The following is a 14,977-nucleotide window of genomic DNA, read 5'->3' as shown; positions in this document are numbered from 1 at the left end:
TGTTTAGCCAAGTATTTCTCAAATTCATTTAAGCATAGAACTTAAGGTTTTTATTTGTTTTTAATTCTATTTTTGTAGCTACATAGTAGGTGTATATAACTTAGTTGTTTCTGTTTCTTTGTGTTCTTGTTTTTACAAAATACTTAGGTAAACACTGGTCAAGGATAAGGTAATCTTTTCAGTTCTCAAATATTCACCAAGAAAATGTTCTATGTTAATGTAGGAACACTTAGTTTTAAGGGTATAAATGCTTTTTCTGTTACATGATAGTGTCCCTAGAGGTAATTTTTATAGTACCAATAGTGCCCCAATGTCTTATGCCAATAGTGACATAAGAAGCCAAACTCCCATTTCTGTTGTACTCTTAATGTTTTATGTTCCTCAAATAAGCAGAAAAACTCCTACAACTAGTATTATAGCATGTAAAATATCAGAGCAAACAAAAAGTTTCTATAAAATAAACAAGCCCCTTTGGAGATCTTATTATATAGAGCAGCAGGGAGCACATCATGAACTGTCAAAAACACTACATAGGCCAGTGTGCATTGTTTATCTTAGAAAGCAAGTCATGGCAGAAACTAGAGAAGACAATAAGAAATTCACCAAGAAACTGGTTTAAATTTGAAAAAATATTTTATGACAATAAGAAAAATAGAAATTATAATTAATAAACTACATTTAATTTCTATTTTTCAAGCTAAAATTCTTAAAATGGAACACAAATGTTGGTCTCTTTGTTGCATAAAAATTGCATTATATATAACTACTAATTGTAGTATTTAAAATAAAAGTAGTTATTAGAAGGTTTATATTTTTGTTTTGTAAATATAGATTTTATCGGCAGTCATAAATACTGTGTTTCAAAATAGTGAGGAAATGAATGGCCCTGAAAAAGAAGTTTAAATACTATAAAGATGTAGTTGTCCCCAAATGTAATTGCCATTAAATAATAATTGGGATTTGGGCGGGACTTGATAAAAATTTATTATAATTTTTACTAGAAGAATAAGTAGGTAAGAGAAAATAAATCATTTAAAGACACCAGAGAGAAAGAAATAAAATAAGAAAACAAAACCATGGGGTTTAAACTGTATGGCACTGGCATTAGATCTGAAATACAGATGCAGGGAAAAGTATATATATGATCTGAATATCAGATAAGTCACATTGCAAACATAAATAGCAACAAAATAATAATTATTATTCAAGAAAAAATGGAAAAGTGGCTAATTAAGTGAGGGGCAATCAAATTAGGTTTTCATTACACAGCAAAAAAGCACAATATAGATAAATTGAAGGAGTAAAAGTTGCCTACCTACCTGTAACCATTTCCTCATTAAAAACAAAGGAGAAGAAAAAGAAAATGTAGGTGAATTTTCAATTGATTTCAAAATGTGGAATGACATTGATAGTGTAGAATCAATGGAAGAAATGTTAAAAACAGAAAATGGCTCACGTATTTAATGAATCAGTGAAATTAAGTATAAGCAGACGTATAAATAGTTGCCACAAATATAACAATATTATTTGACATGAAGGCAGTTTTCAATTTTTTGCTATTATAAAAAATGCAACATCAAGTATATTTATTCATACATTAACCATACTTTGAATATATCTTTGTTTCAATTTTTAATTTTTGTGGGTATCTGGTAGGTATATATATTCATGGGGTATATGGGATATTTTGATACAGGCATAGAATGTGTGATAATCACATCAGGGTAAATGAGATATCCATCACCTCAAGCATTTACTCTTTGTGTTACAAATAGTCCAATTATACCCTTTCAGTTATTTTTAAATGTACAATTAAATTATTTTTTACTATAGTCACTTTGTTGTGTTATGAAATACCAGAACTTATTCATTCTTTCTATTTTTTGGTACCCATCAACCTGCCCTCTTCCCCTCATGGCCCCACCGCCACCCATTACTCTTCCCAATCTCTGGTAACCATCATTCTACTCTCCATCTCCATGAGTTCAATTGTTTTATTTTTAGATCCCACAAATAAGTGAGAACATGAGAAGCCTGTCTTTCACTTAACATAATGACCTACAGTTCTATCCACGTTGTTGCAAATGGCAGTATCTCTCTCTCTCTCTTTTATGGCTGAATACTACTACACTGTATATATGTACCATATTTACTTCATACATTCATCTGTTGATGGACACTTAGGTTACTTCCAAATCTGGGCTATTGTGAATAGTGCTGCAATAAACATGGAGGTACAGATATCTCTTCAATGTACTGATTTCCTTTCTTAAGGTTATATACCTAGCAGTGGGATTGCTGGATCATATGGTAGGTGTAGTTTTAGTTTTCTGAGGAACCTCCAAACTGATCTCCATAGCAGTTGTACTACTTTACATTGCAACCAACAGAATTGGCATTACTAGGTCAAAAGAATGACAGTTACAAAGTTTCTTTTTATACATTACAAAGAGTGCTTTCCAAAAACTATGTAGTAATTTGTATTTCCATCAGTATTGTTTGATTATTCCAGTTTCACTATAGAAACATTAGCATTTGTAGTTCCATTAAAAGACAAAAACAAACTTAAAAAAAGGGAAAAAATCTAGATGGTCATTTTTAAAAATCAGTATCTGATTATTAGTGACATTGAACATATTTTAAACCATTTTTTGCCCATTTGTACTTTATCTTTTGTGAACTGTTGTTCATACTCTTTTTAATGCATTGCAAAGAAATAGAAAGAAAAATTTTGAAACACAAAAAGATTCAAGTATGCCATTAAGCAATTATTTTGATTCTGTGTAAGTTAATTTTTCTGAATTGCACTCTCCATAATTCAGTGAGAATAATAATAACATCCACCTGTCCCTTGAAGTTGTAGCAAATGAATTCAATTAATGACATTTAGGATGTTTTTATAAATGGCTATGGCTACAGAAAATTTAAGAGAACTTAATTAACCCATTCTTACTGAAATGTTAGTAGTGGTTATTTATTTCAGTCAGTATTTTTGTATTAATTATGTTAAGATAATTCATATTTACCAAAACAATTATGTTTTATATTTTTAAAACATTGTTATTGTTAAGCAAATTCATAATTTTTTAGCGTTAGATTTTTAAGAAACTTCATTAGTTCTTAGAATTTTTCCTATTCATCAATACACAGGTGGGGTGGTTAATATATAGAAGAAATAGATATTGGCTGGGCGTGGTGGCTCACCCCTGTAAGCCCAGCACTTTGGGAGGCCAAGGCAGGTGGATCACCTGAGGTCAGGAGTTCGAGACTAGCCTGACCAATATGGTGAAACCCAATCTCTACTAAAAATACAAAAATTAGCCATGCGGGATGGTGTGCGCCTGTAGTCCCAGCTACTTGGGAGGCTGAGACAGGAGAATTGCTCGAACCTGGGAGGCAGAGGTTGCAGTGAGCCGAGATTGTGCCACTGCACTCCAGCCTGGGTGACAAGAGTGAGACTCTGTCTCAAAACAAAACTAAACAACAACAACAACAAAAATAGTCTCAAAAACAAAACAAAACCAAACAACAACAAAAATTTATACCCTGTAATAAATTCGCAGTAAAACAGTAGTTGAAACTACTGATACTTTTTATTAGTATTAAAACTACTGATACTACTTTTTATTACTATCAATATACTACTTTTTATTAGTACCAGTAGTTTTAACACACTATTTATAATTTTCTGAAATCTTTCTTGACTCATATAACCATGTGTTAAGTGGTATGCTATTCAACCATGGAAAATTTCAAAGTTAAAATACTTGGCAAATCTTACTTATGTCCTGAGGAATTAAAAATAATACAAATGTAATATATATATATATATATGTTTTACCATCCATGTTTTTCTATCAACTTACTAAAATTTGTTCCAAAATTTTAAAATTATATTTTTAATTTGTGTTAAATATTTACTAAGGCAACAGACATATATTTCATTATCTCTGAAATGCAACAACAAACAGAATGATAGAATGTAAGGTAGAAATCCTGTACCTTGTATTTCACTCGGAGAACTAAATCTGAAGGCAGAACTCTCATAGATGAAGCTATCCCAGCAATGATCCATGACAAGATTCCTGGGATGTTCCACACCTAATTAAAAAATAAAGAGATATTACACTTCAATGTCACATTCAAGAAGAAAAACAGCGGTGGAGATGGAAATAGAATAAAAATTATCCTCTAATAGGAAACTTATAAGATGAATATCTTTCAAAGTATATTTTAAAATGAGATTTAAATGGCATTTTTGAAGAACATATTTAATAATATAAATGGTTTTATCTATGATGTTTAAAAAATAAACTCATAAATTCTTGGAACTTTCAGGTGGACACAGTGGCATGTGCCTAAAATTCCAGCTACTGGGGAGTCTGAGGCAGGAAGATTGCTTGAGGCCAAGAGTTCAAGGCCAGTCTGGGCAACATAGCAAGACCACATCTCTATATTTTAAAAATCTTGGAATTTTAATTTGAACTACTCAACAAGCAGATATTAAGAGTGAAATACTCAACAAGTAGATATTAAGAGTCTATTTGAGCCTGCTGTTTAAAAATAGATTGTATTGATGAATACAGTTGGCCTTCTGTATCCATGGGTTCCATATCCATGGATTCAACCAAAGGCAGATTGAAAATCTTCAAAAAGATAATGGATGGTTTCATCTACATTGAATATGTACAGACTCTTTTCCTGGTCTTTATTCCCTACATCATACACTATGACAACTATTTACATAGCATTTACATTGTATTAGGTGTTCTAAGTAATCTAGAGATGATTAAAATATATGAAAGTATATGTGTAGGTTACATGCACACACTGTGCCATTTTGTATCAGGGACATGGGGATTTGTGGATTGTGATATCCTTGGGGGTTCTGAAATCTATCCCCTATGGATACAGAAGGATGGCCTGTATATAAATATGCACAAATAAACAACATTTATCCAATGTTAACAATGTTAACAAGTTCAAACCAATAGATACAAAATGTTTATTAATTCTCTATTAAAAAGATAAGCTCTACTTACATTAAAAATATGAGTTGATAGTGCTAACTGGTTATTTTTCAAATGTAAATATATATACATTGAAGGAAATGCCAAAAGATATTTACTAACAGTGGTATACGATAAAAGGGAAACATGTTTTGAGATCATTGTGTATAGATTAGTGTTTCTAAACGTGTAGTCTTCTGAAAACCTGCATTGGAATAGCTTGTGATGGCAGGGCCTCACCCTAGCCCCTATGAATCAGAATAAATGAATGTGGACCTGGGAATATGAATTTTTATAAGCTCTCAAATATTGTTTACTGAATTTGGAGTGTTGTTAATCAAGAATCAGATAAAACAAGTTCCAAATGTTAAGATATCTTATCAGCATCTAAAAATAAAATAATTGTAAGCAAGTAGAGTCTCAGATTACTCACTTCAAAAATGGTTATAATTATTCTACATTTACTTTTTATTTGTACAATAATATATTTTTATTAGTACAATAATATTAACAATATGTTAATATGAGCAAAATAAACTAAGACAAATAACCCAATTAAACTAAGTTATAAAGACTTAATATAGGCCAGGCACGGCGGCTCACGCCTGTAATCCCAGCACTTTGGGAGGCCGAGGTGGGCGGATCATGAGGTCAGGAGATCGAGACCATCCTGGCTAACACGGTGAAACCCCGTCTCTACTAAAAATACAAAAAAAAAAAAAAAATAGCTGGGTGTGGTGGTGGGCGCCTGTAGTCCCAGCTACTCGGGAGGCTGAGGCAGGAGAATGGCATGAACCTAGGAGGCGGAGCTTGCAGTGAGCTGAGATCACACCACTGCACTCCAGTCTGGGCGACAGAGTGAGACTCCGTCTCAAAAAGAAAGAAAAAAAAAACACAAAACTTAATATATTTGATACCCCAACTTCCCTGCCAAAAAGTCTCAAATTTCTCAATACTATTTATTTCTTAATTCAAATATTTTAAAAGTTGCATGTCTGAATTTGGGAGGGATTTTTAGGTTCTGGGAGATTTTCTTACACCAATTTGTCTCTCTTCTTAAGTATAAAACCATGCTTATCCTGATTGGCTATTTGCAATGATTACTACATATATTACATAAATATTTGTTCAACTCTGGATGTACTTTAGATAAGATTCAGAGGACCTCCAGGGATTTTCATAACTAATTCTACCATGTGAATTCCAACATTCACTCTGAGGGCTGGGCGCAGTGGCTCATAAGCCCAGAAATTTGGGAGGCCAAGGAAGGTGGATCACTAGAGGTCAGGAGTTCCAGACCAGCCTAGGCAACATGGCAAAACTTCGTCCCTATAAAAAATACGAAAAATTAGCTGGGCATGCTGGCACATGCCTGTGGTCCCAGCTACTGGGAAGGGTGGAGTGGGAGAATCATCTGAGCCCGGGAGGTGGAGGCTGTAGTAAGCTGAGATCGTGCCACTGCACTCTAGCCTACGGGACCAAGTGAGACCATGTCTCAAAACAAAAAATTACCCTGTTCCTGTTACAGGTTGAATGTCTCCTTGCGTGAAGAGTTCTATTCCTAAGTTGGGTATGTCACAAAAATATAAAACACAAAAAAGATGAATTAGAATAATTTTTTAGAAAGTTGAAACAAGATTAGGGACACCATCTGCAGTCACGGATGAGACACAGTATGGTCATGTCACTTACTTGGAATAAGCCAAAATGTTTTCTTAGAAACTAATATACTGAGGAAAAATGTAGTGACATAATCAGGCTCCACAGTACAAAAACCAGACAATTGCTCAAAAGAGGCAACCATTCTTCCTGATACTAACAGCTGATTCTTAAAAAGATTTCATTTAAAAAAGATTGCAATGTAATAAGAAATCCTTTGATAACATCTCCACCAACATCATGATGACCTCCTTAGAATATTTCTATGCAATCTGGTGTTATGGGTAAATGACATCACAACACAGTGAAATTCACTGAACACAATTCTTAATGTGGTTGGGGGAGGGTGTAGTTGATTTCAAGTACTGGGCTTTTGGCTCCTATTTAATCTGTTAAGTAGATTTCAGACCACTCACAGAAACAGATTGCAAGTCTTTCCTGTAATCCTTTACTATCTCTCCATTTGAGCTTTTCAGTTTTATATATAACTAGGTGAACAGTTAGTGAGAAATTGTTCTGCCTGCTTACTGAGAAGCCATGTGCAAAGGTACACAGAAACCTGGCTTTGCAGAGTTGGGTTTTTAATCTTACTTCCTTCACTTAATAGCTCCATGATCGTGAACAAGTTGTTAAGCCTCTCCATTAATCAATTTTATCCTCCTTAAAACAGATATAACGCCAATTTCAGAGGGTTCCTGTCTTAGTTGGGGTTTCCTCAGAAGCTGTTATTTGGGACGTGACCTCAGGAAATGCCAGTAGGGAAGAGCAAAAGTGAGACAAAGATTAGAAGGACTCCAATGAATGGTGTATTATAAAGGAAGTTACTACTGTGGATACATGAGGCTCAAGGCAGCTAGGGAACTCTGAGAGCCAGTGCAGAACACACATCTCAAAGGTATACTGCTCAGGGGAATGGGAACTGTAATATTTTTCCACCACTTCCTGTCATCCATAGGTTGAGGAAAAATTAACTCACTAGGGCAGCCAGAAGAAATATCCAAGAGTTACAGGTGTTGGTAGCTGGACAATGGCCCAGATAAATACTAGTTGAATATTTGTTGTCCTGAGATAACTTAAAAAATCACACACATGAAGTGCTCAGTATAGTCTTTATAATTGATAACTATTATGTGTCCCCAGATTCAATCACAACTGTGTATCACCTGTTAAATTACAAGGGCACCATATGCCCTAACTGAAAGTTAAGTTAAAGGTCGGGTTCACACCCTCATGTGCAAATTGTGGAGCATAACAAGTATTTATGCTTGAGTGAAGGGCAAGCCACTCCACTAAGTAATTCCCTGTGAATGGTGCCAAAATTCTCCTTAGGAAATAATGGTAAGTTTGTTGTAATGCACAGACCAGTGTGTGCCCAAGGTGCTCAATTTCTTCTCCAAATAGCACAACCACAATAATATTTAGCATCGGACTATTTTAAGATGGATATAACAAAACACTCATCTTGAGTATTAAAAATATCAGGAATACAGGTAAGCCTTTAGAAACATACTTTTAGGCAACATAGTATAGTTGTCTGAAGAAAAAGTAGTCTGGACACATGAAACATTAAATATGTTTGCTAAAGAAACAGATTCTCAGGCTTTAGGGAAAATTCTAGGTATATACTGTGAGCTTTTCTGCTACCTGTGGTCATGGACTTTTCCACTGTTACTGGCTTAAATCTTCTGAGCTTTGCTTCTCAATTCCAGTTTTCCCCCAACCCATCCATATCCGTCATCCACAAATAATTCTACAGTTAGCGTTCAAAATGCGGGTTATAAAGTACAGGTAATCTTTTGAAAACTCTCATTATCTAAAGGATAAAAGTTGGATTCCTTATGATAGTATTTAAGACTTTTTCAATATCCTAGCATATCTCCACTCTCTTTTGCCTCTCTCTCTCTCTCAGATAGGTAGGTAGATAGATGATAGATAGATAAATAGATAGATGATAGATAGATAGGCAGATAGATAGATAGCATTAAAAAGTTTAGCCTAAAACTGCCTCCTTACATATTTTAAGTTCAGCCTAAAGGTTTCTCTGTACATTGAGAACCATAAGCTATATGGAACTGTAAACAGACTGTAAGCCTACTCTTGTGCCAATCATTGAGGTTTGGCCAATCAGAGGTTGCCAAGTGTTCAAACCATGTTCAAATAAGGCAAACTCAGAGCTGTAACCAATCGGCTGTTTTTGCACCTCCCTTCTGTTTTCTGTATGTCACTTTCCTTTTGCTGTCCATAAATCTTACACCACGTGGCTATGCTGGTTTCTGGGCCTACTCTGGCTTTGGAGGCTGCCTGATTCGTGAATCATTATTTGCTCAATTAAACTCTGTTAAACTTAATACAGCTAAAATTTTTCTTCCATCACTACACAGACAGAGTTAGAAATATATAAAATATATAAAGATCTTCAAATTCACTACTTTTTCCAAGAAGGCAGCATTTTTAGAATTTCAAACTCACTATCAAACTTCTGGATTGCCCAATTCTCTGTCTTTTCTCCTGCTAATGTCTTGGCTATTTCTATTTTTATTACTTCTCCCAGAAATAATGTCTTTTGATATTCCAAAGATCTTTGGTACTTAATTTATACCGTATTATCTCTAAGTTTTAGAAATTTGGGTATTTTATTTATGGTCCAGTCATTCAGCAGACAAGCATCAAAAGCCTCTTCTGTCTCATTTGCTCAAGTTACTAATAGATCATGTCTGCAAAGATCTCACAAATATTGTGGGATTAACAAATATTAGCTACAATGAGTGTGACAGATATTTAAATCAAGCTATGCACAAGTTGCCATGCTATCCATAAGGGCAAGAAATCATTCCAGGATTTGCAGCTAATGAGGAGAGAGAGAGAGAGAAAAATGAGGAATGCAGGATGCAGGATCTGAAAAGCTGTGAGATTCCTCACACCAGCAAGGAACCATTTGGTGAGATGAGTCTTGTTATCAACTTGCCTAAGAATTTTTTTTTAATTCTGTAGAATCTGTAAGAAAATTTACATCTTCTTTTAAAAGACAAAATGAGATTGCCTACTCCTATCATGAAATAATCTAAAGACATTTCCAAATATTTAAATGAGAAGGTATTTGATATGGTTTAGCTTTGTGTCCCCACCACCCAAATTTCATCTTAAATTGTAATCCCCAGGTGATAAGGGAGGAATCTTGTGGGAACTGATTGGATTATGGGGCGGTTTATCCTATGCTGTTCTGATGAGAGTGAGTGAATTTTCATGAGATCTGATGGTTTTATAAGTGTTTGATATTTCCTCCTACACACTTGATCTCTCTTCCCTGCCGTCATGTAACACATGCCTGTTTTTTTTCCACCATGATTGTAAGTTTCCTGAGGCCTCCCCAGCCATGAAGAACTGTGAGTCAATTAAACCTCTTTCCTTTATAAATTACCAATTCTCAGGTATTTCTTTATAGCAGTGCAAAAATGAACTAATATAGTATTAATCTCTATTTTTAATGAGTATATTTTGCATATATATTAAATATTTTAATTCTTCTCATCAGTCATGTTTTTCTGTAGACCATGTTTTTCTGTAGATCAAATTGTGAGGCTTAGCCACCAAGGACTATAAGCACAAGTAGATACGTAGATAATGCCTAAAAAAGATACCACAAAAGGGAGAAGGATAAGAATATAACAGAAAGGGAGATGCCATCAGCAACAACGGGGAAAGAAGTTCTTTTTCACATAGGATAGGGAGACAGAGAAAGAGAAACAAGATATTAAAGGTCTGTGAATCTTCCTTTGTCTCATATCTCCTCAGGTTTAAGGAAGAAGGGGGAGAAACAAAGCCTGAACATTTGCCCAAGAGCAAGTGAGTTTACTTAAAAGAGACTGTTTTGAACTGCAAAAGACTGATCAATTTTTAATTGTCAAGCTATGTTTTATTGTTACATAGCAGAAAGAAATGTACAGCAATGTTAGAAAACTAGAAAGTCACACATTATTTTAAAATTTATTTTTAATGTTAAAATCTTAATCCAAATTTGTTTTTATAACATGCTCATAGTTATAAAGTCATTTGGCTGCACCTATCCTGAAAATTTCATTCCCTGGAAAGATCCATTGATACGCCTTGTATGCTGACATTCTAAAAATTCTGTGCCCTACAATTGGTATAAACGTCACAAACACATATTTTTTTTGGTGCATATCTAAATTTATGATTTAAATCCCAGCCAAACACAATAACTTTTATATTTAATTTTGTCAGCTCCATGTTCCTTTTTCTCCAACAGTTATTTCAAACCACCACTCCACTCTTCAAATTCTCTACTATATCTCTCTTCCTCAGCAGATAAAAATGTAAATATATGACTGCTCCTAATTCCAAAGCCCTTCCACTACCTACCAATTTATTGACACCCATATTTGTTTTATTTTACCCCCACCTAAGGAAGAAATCCTCTCCTGTTCAGCTCTTCCTTTACCTCTGTTCTGATCCCAACCCTCCTAGACCCTTAGTCTATCAGTTAAACCTTACCTCGTTTATATCTTTAACTCCTGTTCAACCCTGGCTTCTCCCTTCTGCTTATACATATGCTCAAGTCTTTTCCATCTTAAAATGCTAATTTCCTTGAGCTTGCAATCAACATTTATTAAACACCACATGCCTCTCCTGATCGCAGCCAAAATTCTTATAAGGGAATTTTACATGAGATGACATTACTTTCTTAATATTTAAAATTATTTCATTCCAAGAAGATGAAGAAATGATAGAAAAGCACCAAAGTGCAACAGGTAAATGACATGTTCAGCTTCAACATTATATAAAAAATTTGCAATGATAATACAATATAATGTTCTTTCAATCAGATTGATGGAGACTAAAGACAATGTTATTACTCAGGGCTTACACAGTTCTGGAAAATAGGTAATGTCTATATTATACTTCTAATTGCAGCATGAATTGCAAAAGTATAAACATTCTGGAGAGTAAGTTGGTCATTTATATAAAAAACCATAAAATATATAACTTTAACCCAATAATTGCACTAATAATAGTTTTAGTAGAAGTAGTAATAATAGTTGAAAAGATAAATTGGTACTGCTCAATATTAGATTGAAAATGTGTTTCAAAAAACTCATGCTGAGTTAATTTTTAATTCAGACTCACATTATTTATTTGTTTAATATAAAGTGATCAAACTCTTCAAATAATCTAATTAAAAACATATACCCTCAATATGGCATAAAAAAGGGACAAGGCTGATTGAAGCCACAATTTATTCCAAATATGTTGTCTCTTTATTAAGAAAATGCAAAAAGGAAACAAAATCACCATATCAGAATTTCTATAAAGTTTTGAGGAATAAGCATTGGCATATTTGAATAATATCATAAGAATCTTACAAATCTACTAATTTACATATTTGGGTTTATAGACCAAATTTGGAAGAACTTGATTTGTTATATAGTTATCTAATTCTGATTCTGTACCATTATGAGCTGTGATTTCAGCCAAAATACTGCGTCTCTCAAATCTTGTTTTCTCTTTTATAAGATAATTTTCTTTACAGATTTCTAAAGTATTCATTTGTTCTAAAATGTTTTGATTCTATGATAAAATAAGTCTGATAAATACCTATAAAATAACATGTAAAATATAAGAAAAACAACTTACTTGTCAGTATTATATCAATGAGGACATCTTCCATTGTGGGATTTTTGAAAGGTATAACAATAGTTGACTGAAGACCAATGCGTGTGGTTATTCTTTCCGTGTCTAGAGGCTGGGGAAATAGTCCTACTCCAGATAAGTAGAATTTCCATTCTGTAAACTGTTTGAAGATAAGTATTCGTAACTTATGTGTCCTAACTGCATATATTTTATTTGCAATACTTAATAAGTATAATGCATATAAAAATTTGGACAGATAAGAAAAGTTTTGTTGTTAAAAAGCATTGTTTTATTTTTCCTTTCTTTTCCAAATTCCTTTTAATTTTATGGAAAAATAATTCTATGTATTTTTACTTTGAGGCAGAAGAGGGCAAAAGTGCAATATTCAAATATCAAACATATTTCAATGCACATAAAGTTATTATAGCAACATAAAAGAGAAAGTTTAATGGAAAACCTGGCACTTCTGTTCAAGTTTTTTTTTTTTTAACAAACTTGATACCAAACACTGCATGTAGTTTCCAAACTCTTTGGGTGAATTTCAAATGAAATTCAGATAGCTGCCACATTAAGGCAAAGAAGATGAGGCACAGATTGAAGCTCCAATAAAAGGAAGTATGTACAATTGCATGCCATATTATTTATCTCCATCATCGAGTCCAGTGCATTATCTGTTATCACATGATATGGATAAATGAATCAAAAATTATGTGAAGGAGATTGAATGTGGCTATTATTTTTATCTAAGTTTCATTAGCATGTAAAGCTCTGTTTGAAAATCTCTTTGTATTTTAGGATAAAAGTCCCTTCAGAGTACAGTACACTGTGACTCAGTTCCAGGGTCTCTTAAACTTCTGCAACAAACACTTTGGTAATGTGCAGATGAATAAAGGGATCACAAACAATGTCCTACTTTATAATCTCTCAAACTATATAGACGTTTCCAAGCTTAAATTCTGATAAAAAGAGGGAAACTTGCTTGAAGATTACTTCAAATAAGGAGAAGTAGTGAAAGAAAACTCATAAAAATCCTGCCTCCTTAGTAGAGAGAATTAAAGGCATATTTCATCTGGATATTATCTTCAAATGACTATATTACTATTAGTCACAGATTTGACTAGCATAATACAAATTAACTATATTTTCAATAATAACGTCCTAACTTGATTCACAAAATTGACTGTTTAAAGTCAAGCATCAGAGTTCAATTAAATTAAAAAGTGGTTTAAGTAAATTATTTACTATTTGGATATTTTATAAAAGAAATCTTAAATGGGAGAACTCGTGTTACTTTAAACCATTGTAAATGAGCCAAGTGACAAAAAGAAGGTCATGGTTTCATGTTTTCTCAAGTCGCATAGAGTACTGGAGTTTCTATGTTAAACCACATCCCACGATTATTGAACACTGACATCCAACACTTTTCCTAGCATTGATTACATTATTCACTTGGGTTCAGAATGGCAAATTAAAAAGTAACCCAGCAAACATATGCACTCAACAATTAATATATTCAGCCCACATTTTTCTCAATCTTCTTCTAAAGGAGAGACATTAAAACTTTTAAAGATACAATTTTGATATTTCTGAAAGAGAAAACAAGTGGATATAAAGGATAGCAAATCTAGTTTGCACACTGAGCTCCAGAGAATTAAAACTTGTTAAGAAGAATCAGAACTTTCCATAGGCACAGGCTACAAAGATCACAGACTCACGCTGGATTGTAAAACCACTGATTTTATAACTTCTTCCTTAATTTTTGCTATTCTGACCTTTAGATGAAACAAATCATACAATCAAATAGGAATGAAATAAACAAGGCACCTATCTGAAAATAAAAAGGAAGCATCTGAAAACCAAGAAAGAAAATCTCAGAACATAATCTTCGAAACCAAAGAGAAGTTATAATTTACCACATTTGCTGCTTACTACTGCTCCTCTTATTCTGTTATGTAGTAACATAATTTAATTTAGAGACTCTGGTTGCATAAAATATAAGTTTATGATATTTGCAGTTGTGATGTCCTGACCAAATTAATCACAGGATTCAAAATCTGCACAAACAATTTGAACTTAACCCAAACCCTAATCATAACTGAATGGTTAGATTTTTTACATTGCAGAGTTTTTCACATGAATTGAAACCAGAAACAAATGAAGCAGATAATGAACCATAGCCATTTCCCTCAATCCAGCAAAGAGGTACCATCAGAAATAAAGTTTACCCTATAAGAACAGCCATTAGTTGGCTTTAGATTCATCAGCTAATCAGCTGTGTGTGTCAGTTTAGATAGATTTAATCAGTTAAATCAAGAGAGGGATGGAAATCTATATGGCTATTTCCCTAATGGTAAATGTTATTCCAAACTCAGACTTAGAAAAATAAACTCTAAAGTTTATTTTAAAAAATATTTTCTTTAGATGCCTGTTCATACATAATGCATACCACATTTTCAAAAGTTCATTCAATTAATACTTTATGATGAACTAGTTTTTCTTGCAAAAGATGTCAACTGGATGAATTAAATAAAAGAGGAAGAACTAAATGATTCAATGATAAATATGGCAAGAAAAATCACAAAGGTTACAGCAATATATTGAGAAGGTTGAGGAGGTCTAGACCTGATAGCTGAAAGCATGAATTATTGATTGAAGTCTAA

At 33.3% G+C, this 14,977-nt stretch overlaps 1 protein-coding gene across 1 annotated transcript in view; it reads right to left on the bottom strand.

The window, feature by feature from the left end:
- Positions 1-14,977, bottom strand: part of CFAP47 (cilia and flagella associated protein 47) — a 465,584-nt gene that overhangs the window by 62,008 nt on the left and 388,599 nt on the right. Inside the window, exons 56-57 of the mRNA NM_001304548.2 lie at positions 12,321-12,477; positions 4,003-4,101 (exon numbers count right to left, since the gene is read on the bottom strand). Of these exons, the coding sequence (NP_001291477.1) occupies positions 4,003-4,101; positions 12,321-12,477 (256 nt within the window). The remainder of the gene's footprint in view (positions 1-4,002; positions 4,102-12,320; positions 12,478-14,977) is intronic.

The sequence above is a fragment of the Homo sapiens genome, chromosome X (assembly GCF_000001405.40).
Source record: "Homo sapiens chromosome X, GRCh38.p14 Primary Assembly".
Classification (NCBI taxonomy): domain Eukaryota; kingdom Metazoa; phylum Chordata; class Mammalia; order Primates; family Hominidae; genus Homo; species Homo sapiens.
The sequence above is the reverse complement of the archived record's forward strand: the minus strand, read 5'-3'. Positions and strand labels throughout refer to the sequence as shown.